The sequence below is a fragment of the Homo sapiens genome, chromosome 10, assembly GCF_000001405.40.
Source record: "Homo sapiens chromosome 10, GRCh38.p14 Primary Assembly".
NCBI lineage: Eukaryota > Metazoa > Chordata > Mammalia > Primates > Hominidae > Homo > Homo sapiens.
In genome coordinates this window covers 669,626-697,296 of record NC_000010.11, presented here as the reverse complement: position 1 = coordinate 697,296, position 27,671 = coordinate 669,626, and the positions used below count along the sequence as shown (strand labels likewise).

Here is a 27,671-nt window from a genome sequence, read left to right as displayed (position 1 = left end):
TCTGACCACCAGAGGGAAACCACCAGCCGGGCAGCACCTGGGGCGGGGGAGATGAGCAGCTGGTCTGGGAGAGGCCCTGGCCATGCACTTCGAGGGCTGAGTGACACAAGGTCCCCATGGGCAGGGGAAGGGTTTTGAATCAGATCTTTTGGACAATCCATGGTTCCTTATAAACTAACCTCTCCTGGCTAAAAAGGCCTGACTTTCCAGGGGTGTCCACCGGCTTCTGTTTCCTTTTGTGTCTGTCGCTGGGACTACAGGCCCTACACGTGTGTAAGCTCCTGAGCCACGTCCTAGGACTGTAGGACCTACCTGAGTGTAAGCTCCTGACCCACGTCCTGGGACTAGGCCCTACCTGAGTGTAAGCTCCTAAGCCACGTCCTAGGACTACCGGCCCTGCATGCATGTAAGCTCTTGAGCCACATCCTAGGACTACAGGCCCTACACGTGTAAGCTCCTGAGCCACGTCCTAGGACTACCGGCCCTACACGTGAAAGCTCCTGAGCCACGTCCTAGGACTACCGGCCCTGCATGCATGTAAGCTCTTGAGCCATGTCCTAGGACTACAGGCCCTACACGTGTAAGCTCCTGAGACACGTCCTAGGACTGTAGGCCCTACCTGAGTGTAAGCTCCTAAGCCACGTCCTAGGACTACTGGCCCTGCATGCATGTAAGCTCCTAAGCCACGTCCTAGGACTACTGGCCCTGCATGCATGTAAGCTCCTCAGCCACATCCTAGGACTACAGGCCCTGCATGCCTGTAAGCTCCTGAGCCACGTCCTAAGACTACAGGCCCTGCATGTGTGTAAGCTCCTGAGCCACGTCCTATATGACATCCAGCACATGGCTTGGCAAAGGATGCTGTCTAAAATTCTTCATGAGTCCACACAAAGCAAATGGAGTCATAAAAATAAAACAAAAAAGAGTAACGTAGAAAATAAACCAAAAAACCCTGAATCATGTACATCCGATGTTCTCCTCAAAGATCACACAGGACCCTCACCCTTTGAGACGCCGTCTGCCCAGACACACTGCTTGCTAGATATGAGGAGCTGTGGGTCCCCAGAGATCACACAAGATCCTCACCCTCTCAGATGCCGTACACCCGGACGCACTGCCTGTTGGATGTGAGCAGCTGCGGGTCCCCAGAAATCACAAGGGACCCTCACCTGCGAGTTCAGAGATCACACAGGACCCTCACCCTCTGAGATGCCGTCCACCTGGACGCACTGCTTGGTGGATGTGAGCAGCTGTGGGTCCCCAGAGATCATACAGGATCCTCACCTGCGGGTCCCCAGAGATCACACAGGATCCTCACCCGCGGGTCCCCAGACATCATGCAGGACCCTCACCCTCTGAGATGCCATCCGCCTGGACGCACTGCTCGCTGGATATGAGGAGCTGTGGGTCCCCAGAGGTCACACAGGATCCTCACCTGTGGGTCCCCAGAGATCATGGGGGATCCTCACCCTCTGAGACGCCATCTGCCCGGACACACTGCTTGGTGGATGTGAGCCTGCGGGTTCCTGGTTTCTGCCCAGCTGACATGTGGTGGTTCTCAGCGAGGCTGCTCGGGCGCTGTAGGCTGGGTGCCCCATCCTCCAGCGGCTGTCATGTGGCCATGGGTGGGTCACAGCCACGCGTGTTCCCAGTGTGATGAGCCGATGGGTGGGCTGCTCTCTGCCCACACCCGGCTGGCCCAGGCCGTTGTCTTGCCCTGAGGACTGGCCCTGTGGTGTCCTGAGTGGCAGGGCCAAGGGCTCTGCTTCTTCCTGTGCTGAGGTGGTCACCCCGTGACAGGTTCTGTCTGCAGCGCACACCCTCCAGGAGGCACCTGCCCCCCAGCCCCTGCCTCAGGCCCCGCTTCCTGGAGCCCAGCCTAAGACATCGGTGGCCAGGACGGCAAGGACCTGAGACACAGTGCCAGCCACAGCAGCACTCCTGCCTGAGTGGGGTCTGGATGTTCCGGGAGGGCCCTTGTCTCAGACTCCCCCAGACCTTTCTCGACAAATGAAGCTTCAACCTCTGGTTTGCCAGGTGATGGTTAGGCAGCCTGGTCTCACAGCTGCTGGACTCCCTGGATCACTGTGGCCTCAGTGTGGACAGTGGAGCCTCACGACCCTCTCTGTTTTTCTTTGCTTTTGTCAGGTGTGGGTGTGAGATGGCCCAGACTTGGGCCACAGCCACAAGCTTCTGTGACTCACGCAACTCAAGAGCACTGTAGTGGGGTCTCACCGCAGAAGCCATCTGGGAATGCTCTTGACTTGGGGTGTGTGCGTGTTTTCCCATTTTGAAGAATAAGGTCAATTTTAAAATTTTCTGACACTTTCTCGCTTTGCCAATTTTTGATGGCAAAATTTTAGTCTCCAGCCTCTCCTTTCTACTTCAGAAGCTTGTGTGTTGCTTGTCTCAGCTGTTAGTGGATATGGGTTCTGAAAATGGTAATTAATTTTAACAATAGCTTAAGTAAGCCAGACATTAATCATAATTGGCAAAGGAAATATGCTGTAAAGTATTATATAATCTAAGATAAAACAGGAGCAATTTTTGCATAATTTGTTATTTTGTACTGCCTGTGTTATCATTAGCACAGTGATTAAGAATTAACTGAAATTACTCAAATTACCAGAAATAATTCAATTATCGATAATTGTATATCGATGTATAATAACATATACAACCAAACACTTAGGTGATTTGCTCAGGATACATTTCACAACTTGTTTTTCCATCAAAATATTTTTGACTCACAGTTGAATTCTCAGTACTTCCATCAATTAAATGGAAAAGCAAATTAATTGTAGTGTGGGAATCTCTGGGAGTATTTCTTGCTTTTTCTCTTTTACTAATGTACTTGTTCTTCAGTAAATAGATTGGATAGTTTGTTACTTCCAGAGGAAGACAGTAACCACCAATAGACAGGAAAATGTACCTCTGGTTTACCAAACTTAGTCATAGTCACATTACAGAGTTAATTCTATAATGTTGTGAAAAACACCTGTGTCACAAAAATGTTAATGATCTCTTGACTGCATAGATGAGTTGCGTTCCGGAGTCTTAAGTTGCTTTCTAAATACTAATTAATTAAACCCAAGCTTTCTGTGTCAGGCGATTACTCACTTTTGTCCTTTCCTTAGTCTACCCAAGCTGAATTTCTGATAATATGGTAAGACAAGAATGAAACATAACCCAAAACATAAGCTTCCAGCCACGGTTCTGTGTGGAAATTGCAGCTTAGGAAGATTTTGTCACAATGAGATGGTAACCCCTGCTTCCCCCGGCCATACAGAGGATTGAAGATGTAAGTACCTGGGGGACGCCAGCCACAGTGTTTTACCACCTACTCTTCCAGTAGCTTTGGAAAAGGAAAAAAAAAAGTCACAGAATTGGGGCACACAGGGGAGAGTGCAGCATGAACAATTTTCCATTAATCTGATAAAGAGGGAGGTAGTCTAGGTGCAGCTCTGAGATGCATTTCTGCAGGGGAGCCACTCCCTGAGAGCTTTGTGTTTCCTTCCTGTTAGCGATCTCATGAATAAATAAACTCTCTGCCTGGCACCGATACCTCCAGCCTGCTCTGATTCAACACATTCCTTTGCTACTCTTTCCCACCCCAGTCAGATTTCCTGAAATCTCGAGCCCATTACACGTAAGTAATTAATTTTTCACTCATTAGAATTGGCTTGGAATTCAGTGAGACAGAAAAAAATAGGTGAGGTCCTGGAAGTTAGGGTAAATAATGGTGACGAATTACCCGTCAGCAGACAGTAAAGCAAGACCTAGAAACGGGTCCTCAAATACTAGCTGGCATGGTAATTAATTAATTGTTTAATTAGATACATGTAGCTGTCGCTCTGTGGAGCTCACAACACTGTTTTCGAGACTTGTCTAGGCAAAACTGTGGAGTAGCTCAAAAACGTGACTTTAATCCCTGATGGAAATTTCGGGGGTTTGGCAGAGCTTTTGAAGCCAACAGCCCTGGGAGTCTATTTGATTCATTCTAATAAACATCTATTGGGCACCTTCATTCCTGCCTGGGCAGACATTTGAACCAGGTTTTTACACTTAGGAACACGTAAGATGGCAAGGTGTTCACCAACCACACGTTCCGCAAGGCTGCTCACAGGTGGAGCAGAATGAGACCGAGGAAGGGGCTGCTCCTCTCCGCTCCTGTGCTGGTCTGCACTTCCAGACAGAGGCACTATGCTGTTTGTGGTGTCAGTCAACACAATGGGACAATTATAGATAAGCCAGCCACCAGACAAAACACACACATAAATGACCAATCCCAGGGAGAGCAGGTGGATAAAGAGGTGTGTAATTCCACAGGTGGGAGAGAATCTTTCTAACCAGGAGATTTGGGAAGGCTGCATGGAAGAAGTGGCGTTTGAACTTGGACTGGACTGGGTGAAATTCCGTGTGCGGCTATGACTCAGGTTGTGGGGAAGGGGAGACGACAGGAGGGAGCACATTAGAAAAACAGACACCACAGGTGGGGACTCTCCATGGACAGCTGGGAATTCTGCAGCTGAACCTCGGAGCTTGAAAGAGACGGGAGGAACAGAAAGCAGGAGAAATGTTTAGTGCAGGGCTCGTGAGACCATTGGTGTCAATTAAGGATTTCTTCAGTTTGCAGGCATAGAATCATGGGTTGTACAGCAAGGGGCCTGTGGTCTGTGCTAAGAGGGACTTTTTAGAAGAGTGATCTGACAGCCGTGGTGGGAAGACTGGAAGGAGGCTCTGAAGGCCTGACATGGGCCATAGCCAGAGGCCTCGACAGGAGCAGGTGGCGCACAAGAGAAATGCTGTGGGTAGAAGTTCTTGAGGGGACTCAAAGTGAAAGGGAGGCTGCTCTCAGAAATAATGTACATGGGGGAAAGTATTGGTAGGTAGGATGAGTTTGATTGTGGACAGCATGAATTTCAAGGAGATGGTAGGAGTTCCAGATAAAGATGATATCTATCAGGCTCCTGGAAATGGCAGTCTAAGACCGAGAGCCCACACTCACACGTGTAATGTGTAGGTGCCCAAAGACCTGCTGAAAGGAACCATCAGCTCAAAATCTGAGTTTGCAATTGATGTGTTTAATGCAAATTACAAGTTTTCTTTGCAACCAACATCAGTCATAGGATCATATGCAAATGATTAAGGCCCATCAAAAAGAATATATATATATATATATATATATATATATATGTATTTTTTTTTTTGAGACTGAATCTCGCTCTGTCACCCAGGCTGGAGTGCAGTGGTGCGATCTCGGTTCACTGTAACCTCCACCTCCCGGGTTCAAGTGATCCTCCTGCCTCAGCCTCCTGAGTAGCTGGGACTACAGGTGTGTGCCACCATGCCCAGCTAATTTTTTGTAGTTTTTAGTAGAGATGGGGTTTCACCATATTGACTAGGCTGGTCTTGAACTCCTGACCTCATGATCCACCTGCCTTGGCCTCCCAAAGTGTTGGGATTACAGGTGTGAGCCACCGTGCCTGGCCCGCGAATATATATTTTTTATTCCGACATTATACCGCCCTAAATGGACTTGACACCATTTATTGCTTGGAATGCACAGTGCATCTTTGCTGTAATGAAATGAACTCAGGGCTTTGCTTTGGAGACTGGGGTTTGAATCCTGGTTCTGCTCCCCTTTCTGTCTCTAAGGACTTTTATCTGTGACGTGTAGGGGCTGTGTGGGATCTTCCCCACGGCCCCTGCATTGCTGGTCGGTCTCTTTATCATGCAAAGGGGAGAGATGATGGTGGGGCCACATGCTTGTGCCACCCGTATCTGTTGCATTGAACGCAGTCTGGAGCGAAGGACGAACCCACGGCGCACACCAGGCGGAGGCACACGGCTCGGCGCAGGAAGCACACGGGTTTGGGGTTCCTGTTTCCCAGCTCATCGTCGAATGTCATTCTCACAATTCCCCACTGAAAGGACCGATCCTTACAGGAAATGCACACACCTCTGGCGGTTGCCACCACTGCTAGATCCATGGGAAGGGCAAAGGTGGGTGAGGCATGGGCTCTGTCCTCCAGGCGCTTACACTCACAAAGAATACAGAGAAGATAAAAAAGGTCAAACGTGATGAGGGCGGGAAGTGGCCGGTGCAGGAAGAGAAAGGAGAGAGATTGTTCTGGACCTGGGGTCAGGGATGGCTGTGGGTGGCAGGGGCAGAGAAGGGGCAGGCTCTCCGGGGTGGAGGCCGGGAGCAGAGGTGCTGCGGGTCAGCCGCGTTGTTTGCAGGAGCCGGAGTGTGGAGGCCGCAAGGCTGCCGTGCAGGTGGGTCCCGGCTGGTGGGGGCTCCGGTCGAAGCGGGGTGGGGGGGTGGTGGGGGGTAGGGGTAGGGGGGTGAGGTGGGGGACCTGTGTTCCTGCGGCCCACTCTGAAAGGGGAGTGAGTGCAGCTGGGCCTCCGGGAGCCAGCGCTGGCCAATGTCCCGTGGAGGACGGGGAGGCGAGGAGGTCTTTAGGAAGCTCTGGGCCTAAGGGAGGGGCCGGGCTGGGAAGAGGGGGTACAAGGATGAAAAGGAGGCCAGGTCGTCGGGGCTTTGTGCAACAGACTGGGGAGGATGTGTGGAGACAGAGGAAGGTGATGATGAAGACAACGGGGGCGGTTCTGAGAAGCAGAACTTCCAGTGACTAAGAGTCACTGGAAGCAGCTGGCTTCATTTAGGGTTTGTGGCGTTTGGGGTGTCTAGGGGCTTCCAGGGAAGTTTGCTCAGTGGACGGTTGGAGATGCGAGGGCCTCCCCAGATGGTCAGGACTAGAGGCACAGACGGGGCTTCAGCCTCGCCGAGGTGGCACTGAGGCTGGGAGCTGATGGCCCCACAAGGAGAAGGACGGTGGGAACCCTGGGGCCTGCAGCCTGTTCCGGGAGGGCTGGAGCCAGGCTTTTCGGGCCCACCTGGCATTTGGAGATTAGGTGACCCAACCTTGTCTTCCCATCCCCTTTTCACAGATGGGGACACTGACCCTCCAGGCAAAGGCTCAGAGTCGCTCAAGGTCATCTGCTGGTCGTTGCATTCGAAACTTCCAGCCTAGCGCTCCGTCTCCGCCTCTTAAAATGTTCATTAACAAAAAACCAGCCCTCCAAGACCCGGGGCACTGCGAGTTTTCGCGCAGACGTCAAGCTGCGGCTCCAGGACGTGATTTTCGCAGGGAGCCGGGTGGACCAGGCTCTGGGGCCGGGCCCGCAGGCTCCGCTGGACGCGCAGAGCCCAGGACAGACAAGACCGCCCCGCCCCGCCCCGCCCCGCGGGCCCCGAGCCCCCAACCCGCCCCCGAGCGCGCCCCCGGGAGCGCGCGCTTCGCCGACGCGGCCGCGCGCCCCCCCGCGCGCTCCCGCTCCTGCGCGTCCTCGCGCCCCGCGCGCGCGCGCCCTGCCCCCGCGGCCCCGTGACGCGCGCGCGCAGAGACGCTCCCGCCGGGCCGGGGCCGAGAGCAGCAGGGCCGGGTCCGGGTCCGCAGCGCCTGCGGGGAGGGGCCGAGCGCGCGCGGGGCGGGCCGGGGACCGTGGGGCGCGGGGGCGCGCGAGGCGGCCGTGGCGGGGCCGCGCTGAGGAGGCGCCGAGGGGAGGGAGGTCCCTGCGCGCCCGCCGCCCGCCTCCCGCGCCCGCGCCGCCGCCTCCTCCTCGGTGCGGTTCCGCCGGGCGCGAGGAGCCGCCGAGACCTCCGCCTGCGAACAAAGAGGAGGCCGTGCGGGGCGCGGCGCCCGCGGAGCATGGCGGACCGCAGCCTGGAGGGCATGGCGCTGCCCCTGGAGGTGCGGGCGCGCCTGGCCGAGCTGGAGCTGGAGCTGTCGGAAGGTAACCGGGCCCCCGCCCCGGGCCGGGCCGCGCTGTCACCGGGGAGGGCCGCGCGCGGAGGGCTGGGGGCGCGGGGCCTGCGGCGGGGCGGGGGCCGGGCCCGGAGGGGGAGGTGCGACCCCAGCCCGGAGCGTGCGCGTCCCCCGGACCCCCAGACCCCGCGCCCTAGGGACGTTTGTGAGGCCGCGATCCCCCGCGCTCTGGGGACGTTTGTGGGGCCGCGATTCCCCGCGCCCTGGGGGTGTCTGTGGGGCCTGGGATCCCCTCGCGCTCTGGGGGTGTTTGTGGGGCCGCGATCCCCCGCGCCCTGGGATGTTTGTGGGGCCGCGATCCCCCCGCGCCCTGGGGGTGTCTGTGGGGCCTGGGCGCCGCGCGGGGACGCAGGATGCAGCGGGCCCGGCGGGATCGGCCTTCCCGTGCGCTCTGCGCTGGAGCCGCGGCGTCCTTGGTGCAGCAGCGCGGTGCGCGCCACCTCCTCGCTGGCGGGTTCGGCCTGGAACGCCCGGCCAGATTTCAATGCGAAACTTGTCGTTGGACCCCGGGTTCGATCTCTGGTGGCTCAGGCCGTGCAGCGGTCCTGGCGCGGCCCGGGGGATCCCACCCCCATTGTTCGCGGGCGCTGCGCGGGGAGGGCTGGGCGGAATCGTCAACCTCCCCCCGGGCCGGGCTCCGGCCTTGCCGTCCTGGTCCTCTCGTAGGAGGGTTTGTGGCAGATCAGCCACCGCGGTCTTATGGAGGGTTGTGTACGCCTCTTATTTGCTCTTCATGGCGGAGATCATGTGCTCAACTGTCATAAGTTTCAGATCGGGCTTTGCCAGGTCTTTTCCCCAAAACCACTGAAGTTCCCAAATCTGAAATGTTTGATGTGCATTTAGCCGTCTCTGGGCTCATCCTGGTCAGGCCATTCCTGTAACGTGGGGTGGGGTGGGGGTGGGCCGGCGCGTCTCACATTTATATTTGGAGCAGTTTAGCATGGTGAACTTTTTTTGGGTAACGGTTTTGTGAGGGCCGGCAGCCAGAAAGTAAACTCATTCGTGCCAATTTTCACCGGCAGGGAGGAGCTGGTGTTGACTTTATGTTTTCCTTTTTAACACTTTCAGGGCAAAGAAGGGAGTGAGCAGGGGCCATGGTGTGCAGCCAACTGCCTTTCCAGACTTCTGGGGACGGGAAATGGTACTGTTTTTCAGTTTCAGATGTGGGGTTCCGCGAGGTGTGTCAGTGTCCTGTAACGTGACACAGTTGGCGGGGGGCAGAGTCTTCCAGGCCTGTGGGCTTGGCTGCTGCCCTCCTGAGGAGCTGAGGATGAGGAGGGCATGGCTAGGAGGCGGGAGCTGCCGTGTGCAGGGTTCGGATGTAAACTGGTAAGTAGATTGTGCAGTGCAGACAGCTCGTTTGGTGGGTAAGGAGTGTATCATTTGCAAAAGGCCCACCCTGGTTATCTGATTGTGTCAGCCTTGGGTAGGTTTCCCGGCTTGCGTCTCGGCCCAGGTGCACCCCTGCCTGCAGCACCCTCCGTGTTCGCTGTCTCAGGACAGGGGCTTCTGTGCTGCCTGCATCACACTGATGTGAAGTGTCAGTGCCCCATCCAGGTCAGCAGAGCGTAGCGCCCCTGAGCTCAGCAGGGCGAGCCCCATCTGAGGGTTCCCCCACCCACTGCTAGCCCAGAAGTTGGACCCACATTTGTTCCCAGAGTCTGGGATGTCTATGGGAATGGGTGTCCTGTGTTGGGCATTGTGGCCTTTTGAGGTGACGACACTTGCCTGTCAGTTGCTCTTGGAGGGTGAGTGATACTGTCTTGCTGCCCAGATGATGGCAAAGCCACTTTCGACGAAGGTGTGCTCAGCCGAATTCCCTGTGAACACCTTGCGTCTGTACAGGTTTTTTAAAAAGGGCTTAATGAGTTAGTTTCTTATTGAGAGACCAGGCAGAGAAAGGGGTGTGTGTGTTTGCATGCAGGAAGCCTAATTATATTTTTCCTTCCACATGAATCTTGCTGAGATCTGAGCTACACATTTAAGAAGAAAGGGTGAGAGGGTTGCTCCGTGGCTCTATTCAGCCTCTCTGCACCCTCCGGCCTGTGCTGGCCCCACTGCCTCATCTGTTTGCTGGATGGTCTTTAACTTTGCTGTGAAGTGTGGGTTTGCCCAGGTTGAGTTTATGGGGGTAGTGCTGTAAGGTCATTTGGAATTCTCTGTCTCATAACCACATAAAACAGTTTTACAGGCTTAAATTAGATGAATCAACTTGTTTTCCAGTATTGCTTAATAGAAATCCAAGAATTGAAGGATCAAAATTCTGTGTTTCTTTATGTTATTGGACTTCAAAAATTCCTCAATGTATCTGCTTTCAGAGTGAAAGCTGAAAACAGCTGTTAATGCTGAATTATTTCCCATCTTCAATCAAAATTCAAGTGGAGAGAATTCTTTAAGTTGGTTGTCATCATTTTATTAAAATATCAGAAAATATTATAGAAACATATGTGGAATTTCCAGTGCTCATTTCCTACAGAGGAGGATGGAAAAAGTTCCGTTTTAAGCACATAACATAGACTGAAGGAAAGAGTAGAGCATTCCCCTGAGGTTCCTGTGTGGGCTGCCAGCCTGCGTGGGTTACGCATTGTGTGGGTTTCTAGACCCTGGTCCAGTTCTGCTGTGCCCGCCTGCTGGGCGCCATTACATGCACTGCTGGTGTCCTGCTTTGCAGGGCTGCAGGGGCACTTCCTGCTGCGGGGCCGAGGGCTCCATCCTTCTTCCACTGCCTGTCCCTGTCCCGTGCCCTGTGCCCCCTCACAGGGGAAGGTGAGGCCAGCTCACACCACAGAGCATGCGGCCAGCAAAACACAAGGGCTCTCTGTGGGGAGAAGTGCTGGGCAGCCCTCTTGTGGGAGCTGATGGCCTCGAATCCATGTGGGGATACATTCAGGTTGTGTGGCCAGGGGGGTCATCTCCTCACATACTTGGGTCTGAGTGTGAGCCAGGGAGGAGGCCATGCAGGTAAGGAGGCCACACGGTCAGGAGGCTGTGTGGGTGGGGAGGTTGTGCGGGTGGGGAGGCTGTGTGGGTGCGGAGGCTGTGCAGGTGGGGAGGCCATGAGGGTGCGGAGGCCCCTCGGGTGAGGAGGCTGTGCAGGTGGGGAGACCACGTGGGGGGAAGGCTGTGCTAGTGGAGAGGCCCCGCAGGTGGAGAGGCCGTGAGGGTGCGGAGGCCCTGTGGCTGAGGAGGCCCTGCAGGTGAGGAGGCCATGAGGGTGGGGAGGCCTCCAGGTGATCTGGAGCTCCATTCTGGGGAGGGTCAAGGAATGAGAGGGCTGTGGCGGCTGCTTTCTCATACTCCTTTCCCCAGAATATTTTCTTCTCCCTTCTCTTCCCTACATTTTTGCCCTTTATAATTGGGTATTCTTTTTTGTGGCTTTAAAGGGCCTAAAAATAATTTCATTAATAACTGATACTTTACATGGAATTGCCAAACAAATTGGAGTGGAAGCAGAAAACTTCCCCATAAAGACAAACTCATGTCTTATTTATTTTTTAATTTTTGAGACGGTCTCACTCTGTCTCCCATGCTGGAGTGCAGTGGTATGAGCTCAACTCACTGCAACCTCCGCCTCCTGAGTTCAAGTGGTTCTCATGCCTCAGCTTCTTGAGTAGCTGGGATTACAGGTGCCCGCCACAATACCTGGCTAATTTTTGTACCTTTGTAGAGATGGGGTTTCATCATGTTGGCTAGGCTGGTCTCGAACTCTTTACCTCAGGTGATCCGCCCGCCTCGACCTCCCAAAGTGCTGGGATTACAGGCATGAGCCACTGTGCCCAGACTCATGTCTTATTATTATTATTATTATTTTAAAAAAGATTGCATTTAGCTGTTGATTCAAATTAGGAAGTAAGTTTCTCTGTTGACTGGTCACTGATCTTTTTGGGCAGTGCATGCTTCAGAAGGAGCTCTTTCCCATTTGTTTAGGAGGTGCTGAATTATTTTGATAGAACTCATAATATAGCCTGCAAAAATTGTTGGTTTTTGGTGGAAGAGAAGTTTTGAAAAATAGGTGCCATGCTTTGTACTCTGTGGCTTTGGTAATTGTCAGCGTGTTCCATGCCCACTGACTCCATCCTCCATGCTCTGCTCTGCTAGTTAATGTAGCCGATTCCTTCAGCGAGCAGTTATGCTCCACAGTAGTGCAGCCTAATGTTTTTTCAGCAGGGGAGAACCTGCTTGCAGAGGGAGGTGAAGGCTCGCGCACGTGCCAGGTCTTCCTGTGTTGGTTGAGGGACCTGTGTGCGTGTGTTTATATATATATATATATATATGTATATATATATATATATATATATATTTTTTTTTTTTTTTTTTTTTTTTTTTGGGGACCAAGTTTCACTCTTGTTGCCCAGGCTGGGGTGCAGTGGTGCAATCTCGGCTAATTGCAACCTTCGCCTCCTGGGTTCAAGTGATTCTCCTGCCTCAGCCTCTCAAGTAGCTGGGACTACAGGTGCCCGCCACCACACCCGGCTAATTTTTTGTATTTTTAGTAGAGATGGGGTTTCACCATGTTGGCCAGGCTGGTCTCGAACTCCTGACCTCAGGTGATCCCCCTGCCTCAGCCTCCCAAAGTGTTGGGATTACAGGCGTGAGCCACCGTGCCTGGCTGTGTGTGTTACTGTTAGCACATATGAATACGTGTCAAGTACAGAGACATGGTCTTCACACAGCCTGCACGTTGCTGTCGCCAAAGAGGGGATCCTAAAATGATGGCCCAGTGGGAGGTTTGTAGGTTTTGGGGGTGGCTTTTTCAGGACACTTGGCACAAGGTCACAGATATTTGTGGCTTTGGAATGGAGTTCTGCCCTCGGCACCCCCAGCCCTGTGCATTTCTTGGAGGTTCCACCCTGCACAGTGAGGAAGTCACACGCCTGTGTAAGAGCTGACCAGGGGACCACCTTCCAGAGCCTAAGAGAAGGTCCTGAGGACTCTGTACACATTATTTTCATTGAAAAGAAATAGTTTACTCTGAAAAAACAAACGTGGGAAAGCTGAGCTTCATTGAGCCTCACGGACAGTTTGTTGTAACTGAGAGGAGGGTAGGAGGGTCAGTGGGTTCAGGAGGGTGAGGACTTCTTGGCCAGGTAGCGTTGTTACATCTATCTGAAAGTCACAGATAACTAAGTATCAAGTCGTCACAGATATTTAAGTATCCTGAATGAGATGGCTACCTGCATGATGCATTGAAAACATCATTACTGGTTGCGTGCAAGATGCATTGAAAACATTGTGACCTGCACAGTGGCAGCACTGATATGTGTGGGCTTTTGAACGTGTGGACTGGAATGTTAAGAGTCCTTCAGAGTTATGACAATAGTTTGATTTGAATGTTCTTTTCTTGGCGAATAAATGCTATACATCAAATTTAGCCAGGAAGCTAGGAAAGCGAACCCACATGAAGGGCACAGGCCCATAGGCTGCTCCAGGTGCCGTTAGGGGCCCGAGCCACGCGCTTCCCGCTCAGCCTCCTGAGAGCCATGACGGCGTCTCTGTTCTGCCTCACACTGGACTTGCTAGTTTCATATTCTTGTTATGGTTCCGAGGCTACAAGCGGTTGGATTCTGTGAGTCACTGTCTTCCTCCTCCCAGCTGCTTTCAAATGGGTCGTCTCTTTTTTTAGAACTGATTTTTTTTAATCAGTGATTTATGGGGTGAGTTGTAGCGCTCTCCTGAACTGCAGAGGGAGCGCACTGAGGAACCTGGGTTTTGATGCTGTGCACATTGGCTGAGTCACCAGCCCAGGGCCCCGTCAGTCCCATTATTAAGCTCATTTCTTGCTCTTCTCATCGTTACTCAGACGCCTTTAAAAAAGCAAACTCCTGCTTGCCGTCACTGGCTGTTTGGCAAATGGGTGTTTACCCTGGAAAGACGGGCATTTTGTCCTCTGGAACGTCTATGGCGCCCTTTGGTGACGTGGTCGGTTTCTGACCACTCTATCTTGTGGGTGTCCTTCCTGCTTCCACCTTCCCTTCCCGAACGCCTCCACCTCCAGGGCTTTAATCTTCCTTCTGTGTGTGTGCCATGCAGGGTTTATGACTATTGTGCCAAAAACTTGCTACATCTCAAAAGAAGTAATTGCATCCATTTGTTGGTGATGATCATAAACAGTGCCCTTTAAGGGAGACTAATTGGTAAACCCGGCTGCTGTGGGTAGAAAGACAGCGGTGGCTGCGGAACGAGGGCTCCGCCTCTTCGGAGCCTGCACAACCGTCCTGCCTTCTTTCTTCAATATCCAGTAGGGGAGTTAATTTTAATAAGCCCTTGAAAGCAACAAGGCAGGAAAGTGCTAAGACATTGAGTTGTGAGATTTACAATTACAACCAGCAGCCTCTCATTTTCCCTTCGCTGGGGGTTGCTGCTTCGGTTTTGGGCTGCGGGGTATGTTGGTAGTGACATCGGCCCTTTGTGCTGCGCGACTCATGAATTGAGATAACTTTTTACTAAGTGCTTTGTGCAGTAGGTATGAAAATGGGGAAAGAAGGAACACTGTCCAGGGTAGAGAGGCGTGGAGAGATGCTGTGACTGATGGTAGGTCTTTTCTTTTGGGCTCCTGGTTTTAAATCATTTTTTGTTTCGCTAATAGCTTGGAAGATGGTTTTTGTGTCTTAATTCAAAGATTGAAGACTGTGGGCCGGACCCAAACTAATTCCATTGGCATCAGAGAGAGGGATTCTTTACATATTTATCTATAGGCACGATTGATTTTTTTTTTTTGCTGAATTATCTGGTTAGTCAAATCATATATTAGAGAAGTAATATACCATTAAAAATTAAAAAATAAAAAATGTATCTGTAAACATATCCCCCTTCCATTCCAGTCTTTGTCTCTGTGTAATTTTAGAACCCTTGAGCCATGACGTACATAGAGTTTGTATTCTTTTAATATCTTGCTACTTCATCGTTTTAATGTTTAATCTTTGGGTTGATGTATCACAGTTTACTTGACCATTTCTTACAGGTGTTTGGTTTAGTTTTTTTTTTTCCTTTAACTTTAATGTAAATTTGGGTGTTTGGCTGGTAGTTTTAGCAGGATTTAAGGCAGAGCCTCAGTTAAGGCCTTGTATCGATTTATGGTCCCTAGTTTGAGGAGGGAGGTGGCAATCTGCCCTTTCTTCTAAAATTGGTATGTTAAATCACAATGGACATTTACTTGATTTTGAGCACTTGGGGCTCCCCTGGGGTTCACTGGTGTTGCAAGGTCAGGGCTGGGGATCTTCTGCTGGAGAGGCCCCAGTGTGCCCAGCGCAGGGTCCTGAGTGCGTTGCTGCAGGAAGAAGCCCTGGCCTTTGTCCTCCAGCGGCCGTTGCTCTGGGAAGAGCTGGTTGCTCCAGGAATGAGGTCTATGCTCTGAAGCCCATGGTCAGCAGACCAGCAAAGGTCAGCACAGAAGACCTTATTATGTGAATCATTCATTTAACAAGCATTCATGGAATACACACTCCATGCAGTTGGAACTTAGAGTGGAAGGCCATCAGCTCACTGTTGCCTGAGCAGAGGCTTGGTCTCTGGGTCCCTGTTGCAGCCTCTGCTCCTAGGAGATACACGGTGAGTGTTGGGGGGCCCTCCACAGGCACAGTTGCCGAACAGGGACCTCTCCCAAGGGCCTTAGCCCTGGGCCCTGAGCTCTGAAGAGGAGGAAGGCGTTCCTGGGGCCAACTTCCCTTCTGGATGCTGAGCTCTGCACAGAGAGAAACTCTTCCACAATCACTGCAGTGAAGTTCATAAAACAAATAACACTTTAGAGACTGGGGTCTGCATTCCCTGGAATTTCCGTGGCCGTAGATGGTGGCTGTACCATGTGACTGAGGGTCTGTGTTCCCTGGAATTTCCGTGGCCATAGATGGTGGCTGTACCATGTGACTAAGGGTCTGTGTTCCCTGGAATTTCCGTGGCCATAGGTGGTGGCTGTACCATGTAACTGAGGGGCTGCATTCCCTGGAATTTCTGTGGCCGCAGGTGGTGGCTGCACCATGGGACTGGGGTCTATGTTCCCTGGAATTTCTGTGGCCATAGATGGTGGCTGCACCATGTGACTGAGGGTCTGCATTCCTCGGAATTTCTGTGGCCATAGATGGTGGCTGTACCATGTGACTGAGGGTCTGCATTCCCTGGAATTTCTGTGGCCACAGGCGGTGGCCATACCATGTGACTGAGGGTCTGTGTTCCCTGGAATTTCCATGGCCATAGGTGGTGGCTGCACCATGTGACTGCGGTCTGTGTTTCCCAATATCCGTGGCCATAGATGGTGGCTGTACCATGTAGCTGAGGGGCTGCATTCCCTGGAATTTCTGTGGCCACAGGTGGTGGCTGCACCATGGGACTGAGGGTCTGCATTCCTCGGAATTTCTGTGGCCATAGATGGTGGCTGTACCATGCAACTGGGGCCTGCATTCCCTGGAATTTCCGTGGCCACAGGCGGTAGCTGTACCATGCAACTGGGGCCTGCATTCCTTGGAATTTCCGTGGCCGCAGGCGGTGGCTGCACCATGCAACTGGGGTCTGCATTCCCTGGAATTTCCGTGGCCACAGGCGGTGGCTGCACCAGGCAACTGGGGTCTGCATTCCCTGGAATTTCCGTGGCCACAGGCGGTGGCTGCACCATGTGTCAGGTCCTCTGTCTCAGGAGTTGGTGCCATTGTCTCTATTACTCCCTCGCCTGACACAGAGCGGCAGTTCTTGACTTTACCACTCCCAGGAAGCACACAGGCAAAACAATTCAGAACAATCTGTTTTGAATCCTTGTTTTATTTCCCCATTCCCTTTCTCATCGCATGGAAATTCACATCCCTGTAAAGCTGAAAATGGTGTGGATCTCCCCTGATGGTCTTTCCAAGGAATTATCAGCAGGTAAACTAGACCGTGTGGGCCAGTTTACCTGAAATGAAAACAGAAACGTCACTGGGCTTTGCTGGGAGATTCAGCGTCTTTGTCAGTGATAGAATCATCCTAAGCAGGTTGTTTGTTGTGCTGCAGATCCACACGGTTAGCTGTGTCAGGATTAAAATTACCCAGTGCGGACAGTGTAGCTTAATCCTCATGGAAGGGTGTCAAGTACATTGAAGAGCAGCTGCCGAGCCTGCCATTGTTGGGAGAGGGGCAGGTGCATCTCTCGCTTGGCCCAGTGCTGCAGGAGGCCGGGCTCATGTCAGGCCGTGCGTGTGAGCGGGTTGGATTTTTAGCATGCTGGGACGGTAAAGCACAAACATCTATTTTTAACTTGTGGGTGACCTTCTTCTGTGCTGCTTGAGTCTCTGTGGGCCTTTCTCTGCTTCCTTCCTGAGGAGTCTGTGCCAGGGTCCCAAGCGTTCTCTGGGCTGCACTTCTGTGCCTGCCTGCTCAGGAGCCTCCTCCTGGTGGCTGTGGGACCGGGCTGGGCCCACACTGTCAGCATCGTCCAGGGTAAGCAAGCCCATCCCTCCCCACCTCAGTGTCCCCAGCTGTTGAATGGGGCTAATAAACCGACTGTCAGGATTAATGTGGATCAGATGCGCTCATCTCACAGCCCTGCTTGGTAAATAGCCGCTTCCACTCTGTCCTCCAATGTGGTCCTCCATTTATTTTCTTTACCTCCATTTATCCAGGCGATTCCAGGTGACAGTGACTATCAAGAAGGGCGTACAGAGGAAATCTGTGGAAGGGAGCTCGAGGAGCAGATATGGGCGCAGGGAACGCAGTGCGGGGAGCACGGGTGCGGGGATCATGGGCATGGGGAGCACAGATGGGCGTGGGGAGGACGGATGCAGGGAGCATGGGCATGGGGAGCACAGATATGTGTGGGGAGCATGGGTATGGGGAGGACGAGTGCGGGGAGCACGGGTGTGGGGAGCATGGGCATAGGGAGCACAGATGGGTGCAGGGAGCACAGGTGTGGGGAGCATGGGTGGGGGGAGGATGGGTGCGGGGAGGATGGGTGCGGGGAGCATGGGCGTGGGGAGCATGGGCGTGGGGAGCACGGGTGTGGGGAGCAGGGGTGTGGGGAGCAGGGGTGTGGGGAGGACGGGTGCAGGGAGCCTGGGTGTGGGGAGTACAGATGGGCGCGGGGAGCCTGGGTGTGGGGAGCATGGGCGCGGGGAGGACGGATGCGGGGAGCATGGGCGCGAAGAGGATGGGTGTGGGGAGCATGGGCGCAGGGAGGATGGGTGCGGGGAGCCTGGGCGTGGGGAGCAGAGATGGGCACAGGGAGCACGGGTGCGGGGAGCAGGGGTGTGGGGAGGACGGGCGCGGGGAGCCTGGGTGTGGGGAGTAGAGATGGGCGCGGGGAGCCTGGGTGTGGGGAGCATGGGCGCGGGGAGGACGGATGCGGGGAGCATGGGCGCAGGGAGGATGGGTGCGGGGAGCATGGGCGTGGGGAGCAGAGATGGGTGCGGGGAGCACGGGTGTGGGGAGCATGGGCGCGGGGAGGACGGGTGTGGGGAGCATGGGCGCGGGGAGGACAGGTGCGGGGAGCATGGACATGGGGAGCAGAGATGGGCGCGGGGAGCACGGGTGTGAGGAGCATGGGCGCGGGGAGGACGGGTGTGGGGAGCATGGGTGCGGGGAGCATGGGCGCGGGGAGCATGGGTGGGGGGAGGATGGGTGCGGGGAGCATGGGCGTGGGGAGCAGAGATGGGTGCGGGGAGCACGGGTGTGGGGAGCATGGGCGCGGGGAGCATGGGCGTGGGGAGCATGGGCGCAGGGAGGACAGGTGCGGGGAGCATGGACATGGGGAGCAGAGATGGGCGCGGGGAGCACGGGTGTGGGGAGCATGGGCGTGGGGAGAACGGGTGTGGGGAGCATGGGCGTGGGGAGCTGGGCACAGGGAGGACAGGTGCGGGGAGCATGGACATGGGGAGCAGAGATGGGCACGGGGATCACGAGTGTGGGGAGCATGGCTGCAGGGAGGACGGGCGTGGGGAGCATGGGCATGGGGAGCAGAGATGGGCGCGGGGAGCACGGGTGTGGGGAGCTTGGGTGCGGGGAGGACGGGTGCTGGGAGCACAGGGTATGGAGAGTGCGTGTGTGCTTCCTCTGCTCTGACAGATGCTGCCGAACACGTACTCTGTGCTCAGATGGGTCAGAGCCTCAGTGCCTCTTTTTTAAAAAATTCTTTCTTTTTTTAAAGATAGGACTTCTCTCTTCCTGGTGGCCCCTTTTAGTCGATACTCTTTTAAGCCTGCTTTTCCAGAGGAAAGCTGGGAAGGATGGCCTATATAGGTTCCAGTCTGGGCATATCTGGAAGAATGGCCTGTTTTAGGTTTGAGTCTGGTGTATCTGGGGACATCTTTAAACTTCCACTCAGAGTTCCAGAGCCACCTGTAGGGACTCCCCAAATGTCTGCTGGGACTTTCCCCACTGCTCGGGGATGATGAAGAGCAGGACCTCACCCTGCCACGACCTCTGAGGTCCTCCTTCCTGGAGGGCAGTGCCTTGGTGGCCAGTGTGTGCAGGAGGCTGGGCTGGCACCTTCGGGCTATGCTCTGCAGCGGGGGCTCATGACATGGGCATTCTTGTGCTCTGCACTGGGACTGGTGACGTGGGGCATCCTCATGCACTGGACCACGCCGGGTGCACATGAGCCAGACAGCTCCTGGAATTCGGAGCCTGGCTCTGTCTCAGGCCACCCACCTGTCTGTGGCACTTCTGGGGGATTGTGGGGACTGTATGAGTCTGGGTCTCCACCCTCACTGGCTGGACACCTGGCCAGGCTGGGGCTTTATGTTTCACCATCCCCTGTTCCGAGTTGTGTGAATATTTATTTTCATTACCTACTCTCATAAGCTTTCCTTTTTAAATAAAAAAATCAGAGACAGACTTTGAAGTTCCCTGGCCCCACCCTTTGTGGACCTAATGGTATTGCAGAAATTATGGCTTCAACTATGTATAATAACTGGGACTACTTTAAAAGTAACATAAAGGAACAAGGTGGAGTGTCCGTTTCAAGCAGTACATCATGCTGGATTCTTAAGTGAACATTATCAGGCTTTCAACACATTTTCTCTTTTTATTTACTTTGGAGAATATAATGGATACTCAGAAGCTGTTGGGATTTAGTAACAGGAAGTCATCCTTAAGGAGCTATTTAAGCAAGGGGGCAGTTGGAGTAAATGTAAGTTATGAACACACACCTATTCCAAACCAGAGAAATAAAGGCTTCAATTGTGCTGGGGTTGAAACTTGGTGGCTAGTGTGTCTTTCCTGCCCACAGTGACTGTGGCAGTGCTGTGGGCAGGAAATTCTGGAAACAAGACTTGGTGCCAGTGGTAGTTTTTGTGGTGATTCATTTGCTTTCAGCTCAAGTGACTATAGTCTTCCTTGCAAGTGGTTAGGTCTCCACCAATGGACCACAACATTGACATAGGACAAATGAGAAATAGCACTTGGGTTTTTAACAATTATTCTTTTTAATGGACACATTATAGTACATATCTATGGGATACAGCGTGATATTTCAATACATGTTTGTCATGTGTAATTAGCAAGTCAGGGTAATTAGCATGTCCATCATCTCAAACATTTGTTATTTCTTAATGGTGGGAATCTTCAAAATCCTCTCTTCTAGCTGCTTGAAAATATACAATAAGTTGTAAACTATAGTCACCCTACAAGGCTATAGAACACTAAACCTCATTTTTCCTATCTAGATGTAATTTTGTATCCATTAGTTAACCTCTCCCTTTCTCCCTTCCCGCCACCCTTTCCTGTCTCTAGAATCCACTATTCTACCCTCAGAGGGTAGAATATTATTTTCCTCATAGAGATCTTTAACCCTCTTGGTTAGATTTCTTCTGAGGTATTTTTATTTTTATTTTATATTTTTGTAGCTAAATGGGATTGCTTTCTTGATTTCTTTTTCCACTGGCTCATTGTTGGTCTATAGAAATGCTACTGATTTTTATATGTTCATTTTGTATTCTGTAAGTTTACTGAATTTGTTTATCAGTTCAAAGAGATTTTTGCTGGAGTCTTTTTTTTTTTTAATATATAAGAGCATATTGTCTGAAAACAGACAATTAGAGCTCCTCCTTTCCACTTTGGGTGCCCTTGATTTCTTTCTCTTGCCTGATTGCTCTTGACTAGGACTTTCAGTACTGTGTTGAATAGGAGTGGTACAAGTGGGCGTCCTTGTCTTGCTACAGATCTCAGAGAAAAAGCTTAGTGTTTCCCCGTTCAGTATTATGTTAGCTGTGGGTTTGTCACATATGGCCTTTATTGTGTTGAGGTATGTTTCCTTCAGTGCCTAGTTTGTTGAGAGTTTTTATCATGAAGCAGCGCTGAATTTTATCAAATGCTTTTTCTGTATCTATTGAAATGATCCTATGGCTTTTGTCCTTAATTCTGTTGATGTGATGTAGCGTGTTTATTGGTTTGTGTTTGTTGAGCCATCCTTGCATCCTGGGAGAAATCCCACTTGATCGTGGTGTATAATATTTTTGATTTGCTGTTGGATTCAGTTTGTTAGTATTTCGTTGAGGATTTTTGCATCTGTGTTCATCAGGGATATTGACCTATAGTTTTCTCTTTTTATTGTGTCCTTGTCTTACTTTGGTATCAGGGTAATGCTGGCCTTGAAGAATGAACTTGGCAGAATTCCATCCTCTTCAATATTTTTGGAATAGTTTGAGAAGAATTGAAATAAAAATTTGTAGAATTCAGCTGTGAAGCCACCTAGTCCTGAGGTTTTCTTTGTTGGGAGACTTTTTATTATTACTTAGTCATACATGTTACTCATTATTGGTCTGTTTAGGATTTCCGTTTCTTCTTGGTTCCGTCTTGGTAGGTTGTACACGTCCAGGAATCTATCGATTTCCTCTAGGTTTTCCACTCTGTTGACATATAGTTGTTCATAATAGTCTCCAGTGAGCCCTTGTATTTCTGTGGTATCAATTGTAATTCTCTTTTTCTGTTTCTAATTTTACTTATTTGGGATTTCTTTTTTTTTCTTAGTGTAGCTAATGGTTTGTCTATTTTATTTATCTTTTCAAAAAACCAACATTTTTTCCCATCTTTTGTATTTTTTAGTTTAATTTTATTTAGTTCCTCTTTGATCTTTGTTATTTCTTTTCTCCTACCACTTTTGGATTTGATTTGTTCTTGCTCTTCTAGCTCATTGCAGTTCATTGTTAGGTTGTTTATTTTAAATCTTTTTTTTAATGTAGGAGTTTATTGCTATAAACTTTCCTCTTAATACTGCTTTTGCTCTATACCGTAGGCTGTGATATGTTGTGTTTCTGTTTTCATTTGTTTCAATAAATTTTTAAATTTCCTTCTTAATTTCTTCATTGACCCACTGGCTATTCAAGGGCATATTGTTTAATTTCTATGTATTTATACAGTTTTGAAAGTTCTTGTTGTTGATTTATAGCTTTATTCTGTTACAGTCTGAGAATATCCTAGATGTGATTTCAATTTTAAAAAAATGTATTGAGACTTATTTTGTAGCCTAGCATGTGATTGATTCTAGAGAATGTTCCATGTGCTGAGGAGAAGAATGTGCATTTTGTATCTGTTGGATGAAATGTTCTGTAAATGTCTGTTAGGTCCATTTGGTCTATACTGTACTTTAAATTCGATATTTTGTTGTTATTTTCTGTCTAGATGATCTCCAGTGCTGAAAGTGGGGTTTTGAAGCCCCTACTATTGTTGTGTTGGTCTCTCTCTCTCTCTCTCTCTCTCTCTCTCTCTCTCTCTCTATATATATATATATATATTTGAGATGGAGTTTTGCTTTTGTTGCTTAGGCTGGAGTGCAGTGGTGCAATCTCGACTCATTGCAACCTCCACCTCCCAAGTTCAAGTGATTCTCCTGCCTCAGCCTCCCAAGTAGCTGGGATTGCAGGCATGTGCCACCATGCTCGGTTAATTTTTTCTATTTAGTAGACACAGGGCTTTACCATGTTGGCCAGGCTGGTCTTGAACTCCTGACCTCAGGTGATCCACCTGCCTCTGCCCCCCAAAGTGCTGGGATTACAGGTGTGAGGCACTGCACCCCGCCTCTCTATTTAGATCTACTAATATTTGCTTTATATATCTGGGTGCTTTGTTGTTGGGTGCACATATATTTGTAATTGTTATGTCCTCTTGCTGTGTTGATCTCCTTATCATTATATAATTACCTTTTTGTCTCCTTTTTACAGTTTTTAACTTAAATTGTGATTAATCTGAAATAAATATAGCTACTCTTGCTCACTTTTGATTTCCATTAATGTGAAACATGTTTTTCCATCCTTCATGTTTAGTCTATGTGTGTCTTTACAGCTGAAGTGAGTTTTTTGTAGGCAGCATAGAGTTGGTTTTTCTTTTTTTAAATCCACTCAGCCAGTCTATATCTTTTAATTGGGGTGCTTGGGGTTATTTTGCTACTGATATCACAGTCCAGACATTAAGATTTTCTCACTTAGTTACTTGTACACAAATTAATATGAAAAGGAAGTAGAGTTTTTCTTTTGTCTCTTTGAAGATAGTGATGGATTATTATTTTGATTTCCATACAAGTGAGGGACTCACCGTCCCTGTTGGGATTTTAGAATTCATTTCCTGTTATTAGGAACAGCAATGATCTGTAATGGGTTCCTGGAATCCTCCAGTGATGGTCTCAATATCTTAAAAGTTTCCTTTCATGCCTCATTTTCTGTTTCGCCCCTAGTAGCCACGCACCTGGGGCAGGAGACGGCCTTGCATTTCCTTGTTTTCTTGATGACTGGTTAGGTTTAGTGTTTGACACAGTTAGGATTCTGGATAAAATCAGCCCTTCTGGGAAGTGTGTAAGTCAAACAAGGACGTTCTGGTGGCGTTATACAGGTTTCCCATGCCCCATGAGTACAGGAATAGCTCCCTGGGGAAGGAGTATGGGCACATGATGGCAGGGAGCCATTCTTGGATGGCCCCGTCTTCTGCAGGAATTCTCATGCAGGGAGAAGCAGCACACGGCGACTGAGCGGGTGGGGATTCTGCTGATAGTTTTGATTGTTATGATTTGCTCCTGAAAGGTGATGTGGGATGAAGAGCAATATTTAGAATGCTGACATTCCTTGAAACAAAGATATAGAAAAAATCTTATAATTGTAGGGTGCCTTTTAGTTTTCAGCCGCTCTCATGTGGATCCTTTTTCGTCCTTCTGAAATGCTTTCCCAGGAGACAGCATTGCTCTCTTTGTACAGATGAGGAGACTGGGTTTCAAATGGTTAGGAATTCATCGCAGGCATTGGAATCTTTGGTTTCCTGGAACATTTTCTATTCAAGTATAGACCACGTGGCCTCTAAAGGCTGGCTCACTCTTAACACCAAGATTGGGGATCCAGCCTCACCTCTGGGGTGGGCGGCAGGAGCTCCACAGCCATCCTGGGTGCTCTGGGGTGGGGTGGCTGAGCTGTGGCAGCCCCTCCCAGCTGAGCAGCAAGGCCGGGGAAAGCTCATTCCATCCCCCTTGGTTCTAACCAGGTACAGGCTTACACTGCACATTTCCTTAGCTGGGAACCTTTAGAACTTTACATTTAAAATCTAATCTGTGATCCAGGGGGTTGATACATGGGTATTCACTGTACAATTCCTACATTTTTTGTACATGTAATTTTTTTTTATGTGTGTCATGGATGACAAAAGAAATGCAACCCCTCCGAGTTAGCTTTTCTGTATAGCACCTTCTAGAATCAGGAGGCTGGGCAGGGTTTAGTTTCATCAGAAATCTTTATGTTTCTGGTCAAGAGACGGCACTATTAAATTCTTGGTTGTGTGGTTTCTGGAAAAGAAATATTCTAAATGAGTTCCAGGAATCACCTCTGTGGCATTTCTACAGGAAAAGTGACCACTCTTGAAGCTTCGCCATCACTCACAAGAATGATTGTGATGGTTTCTAAGCGGTCGCCAGCCAATCTTTAGTTCTTTTATGCAGAGTGCTTTCATTCGAAGTGAAGTGCCCTTCTGTTTAATGGTGACCTCCAGTTATTACAGGGATTGCAGCCGCATTTGATGGATGTGAACCTGCTCATCTCTGGCTCCCCAGCCTCGCCTCTGGGGTGGGCGGCAGGAGCTCCACAGCCATCCTGGGTGCTCTGGGGCGGGGAGTCCCTAGTGGGAGTGGACAGTGCATGGCCGGGACGTTCCTGTCCGATGTTCCACACTGGCGTGTGCGCGTCTCTGGCCTGTTTCCTTCGTCCGTGGGTCTGTGGCGTTTTCTCCATGCGTGCGTGTGTGGCCTGTTTTCTCCGTGCGTGCCTCTGTGGCGCGTTTCCTCCATCCGTGCATCTGTGGTGTTTCTTCCGTCCCTGCGTCGGTGGTGTTTCTTTCGTCCGTGTGTCTGTGGTGTTTCCTCCGTCCATGCGTCTGTGGCCTGTTTCCTCCGTCCATGTGTCTATGACGTTTCCTCCCTCCGTGCGTCTGTGGCCTGTTTACTCCGTCCGTGCGTCTGTGGCGTTTCCTCCGTCTGTGTGTCTGTGGCCTGTTTCCTCCTTCCGTGCGTCTGTGGCTTTTCCTCCGTCCGTGCGTCTATGGCCTGTTTCCTCCTTCCGTGTGTCTGTGGCCTGTTTCCTCCTTCCGTGTGTCTGTGGCCTGTTTCCTCCTTCCGTGCGTCTGTGGCTTTTCCTCCGTCCGTGTGTCTATGGCCTGTTTCCTCCTTCCGTGTGTCTGTGGCCTGTTTCCTCCTTCCGTGCGTCTGTGGCGTTTCCTCCGTCCGTGCGTCTGTGGCCTGTTTCCTCCGTCCGTGCGTCTGTGGCGTTTCCTCCGTCCGTGCGTCTGTGACGTTTCCTCCGTCCGTGCGTCTGTGGCGTTTCCTCCGTCCGTGCGTCTGTGGCGTTTCCTCCGTCGGTGCGTCTGTGACGTTTCCTCCGTCCGTGCGTCTGTGACGTTTCCTCCGTCCGTGCGTCTGTGGCGTTTCCTCCGTCGGTGCGTCTGTGACGTTTCCTCCGTCCGTGCGTCTGTGACGTTTCCTCCGTCCGTGCGTCTGTGGCCTGTTTCCTCCGTCCGTGCGTCTGTGGCCTGTTTCCTCCGTCCGTGCGTCTGTGGCGTTTCCTCCGTCCGTGCGCCTGTGGTCTGTTTCCTCCGTCCGTGCGTCTGTGACGTTTCCTCCGTCCGTGCGTCTGTGACGTTTCCTCCGTCCGTGCGTCTGTGGCCTGTTTCCTCCGTCCGTGCGTCTGTGGCGTTTCCTCCGTCCGTGCGTCTGTGGCGTTTCCTCCGTCTGTGGATCTGTGGTGTTTCCTCTGTCTGTGAGCCTGTGGCCTGTTTTCTCCGTCCACGCTGGAGGCCGTCGCTTCTCTCTAGTCACCACTTACTGATCGCTGTGTGCTGAGCCTGTGTCAGGCGTGTGGCATGTGTCCCCTGTGTGGCAGGGGTTTGCGTGACACACAGGGACACACGCTCGGGGAGCCGCAGGGATGGGGTCATAGCCACGTAGCGGAGCCCTCGGTCTGAGGGGCTTGGTGCCCACCCAGCTCTTCCTGAAGCGGCCTCGGGGCAGATCCCAGCTCTGCTTCCTCTCCTGGAGGCACCTCATGAAGTAAATTAAGCAAATCCAAGGTAGGAAACGGTTTTGAAATGAGACCTGGTTTCAGGTGTGTGTGGTCATTTCTCTCTACATGTTTACTTCATATACCCTGAATGATATACTTTTCCACCTGGTATAACAATTAATTACCAGCCATTACTGGTACAAAATTCCATGAAGAATATTTGAGGAAGACATAGTCTCAAAAACATGCTTCATTTTCACAGCTGTGATTTGCATGGTAAAGCTGTCAGGACTGTGACTTTCTTTTGTTATCTTATATTTTTAGACCCTTGAAAGGAAGTTATTTAGTGATTACTTAAAATTGTGAAAATAATCTAATGATTAGAGAATCTCATTAGAACAAGTATTATATTTTCTGTTCCTTATGTAAATGAAATCATCTTAATCCAGGCCGATGTTGGCAGGAATGGTCACGTTTAAAATGGATAAGATGTTAATGTGATGTGCAGCCGTCCCCCTATGTTGTCTCTGGAACATTCCAGAACATCCATCTCAATTCTCACTTGTTGACACCCTACCCTGTTTTGTGATTATTCTTGTTTGCATCAGAATTTTGAATCCACGTACCTGAGATGATACTTACGTATGCGTGTACACATGCATGTGTGTGCATGTGTGTATGTGTATGTATGTGCATGTACGCGTGCGCATGTGCATGTGTATATGCATGTATGTGCGTATGTGTGTGCATGTGTACGTGTGTATATGCATGCGTGTATGTGCATGTACGTGTGTGCATATGCGTGTGCATGCATGCGTGTGCGTATGTGTGCATACATGTGCACACATGTACACACGTGTACATGTTCATGCATGTGCGCACGTGCATATGTGTACACGTGTATGCGTGTACATGTATGAGCATATGTACACGTGTGGATGTGTGTGTATGCATGTGTGTGTGCACAGATATGCCTTTTCCTTTCATACAGGCTGTTTTGAGTATTGCTGTTAGGCAGTGACAACTTTCCGTTTCCTCAGTCAGAAAATGGGTAGCTCATCATTAATAAAGATGAACATTCGATATCAGGAATCCCTAAAAACAATGGAAATTGTCATATTAAATGAATAAATTCCAAAACAAAGATAGTGTTCTGTACTGTGTGTTTACATTGAACTTTCTTATAAACATTGGTATGAATGTTTCCCACTTATTGGAAATCACATGACTAGTTTAAGCTGAAACGTGGAATATTCTGTCTTCAGATCACTTTTGCATATTTATGATTGATCTGTTCTGCTGTTCTGGAAGCTCTGAAAACCACTCGGTCTTACCCTAGCTGGTGCCACAGTTGTGAGAATTCAGGGAAACAAGGTGTTTGCCAGTTTAAGTATTTTAGATGTCAAGCTGCCTC

The 27,671-nt window shown here is 50.8% G+C and overlaps 1 protein-coding gene across 5 annotated transcripts in view, besides 2 other annotated features; it reads left to right on the top strand.

Moving 5' to 3' along the window:
* Window positions 6,319–7,254: an enhancer, noted in NCBI's record as "H3K27ac-H3K4me1 hESC enhancer chr10:735983-736918 (GRCh37/hg19 assembly coordinates)". NCBI's record gives its function as "activates a minimal SCP1, AML or CMV promoter by ChIP-STARR-seq in naive H9 embryonic stem cells {active_cell/tissue: H9 hESC(naive)}" and the evidence as "EXISTENCE:reporter gene assay evidence [ECO:0000049][PMID:30033119]".
* The window catches only part of DIP2C (disco interacting protein 2 homolog C), a 415,468-nt gene continuing 395,425 nt past the window's right edge, over window positions 7,629–27,671 (top strand). For 4 of the 5 annotated variants that reach the window (NM_014974.3, XM_005252427.5, XM_005252426.4 and 1 more), the window contains exon 1: window positions 7,629–7,803. In NM_014974.3, coding sequence (NP_055789.1) covers window positions 7,719–7,803 — 85 coding nt within the window. In that variant the 5' untranslated portion in view covers window positions 7,629–7,718. Of the gene's footprint in view, window positions 7,804–20,743; window positions 26,325–27,671 lie in introns of those variants that run through there. The other variant, XM_011519432.3, reaches the window with a different exon arrangement.
* Window positions 25,362–25,862: an enhancer, noted in NCBI's record as "H3K27ac-H3K4me1 hESC enhancer chr10:717375-717875 (GRCh37/hg19 assembly coordinates)". NCBI's record gives its function as "activates a minimal SCP1, AML or CMV promoter by ChIP-STARR-seq in naive H9 embryonic stem cells {active_cell/tissue: H9 hESC(naive)}" and the evidence as "EXISTENCE:reporter gene assay evidence [ECO:0000049][PMID:30033119]".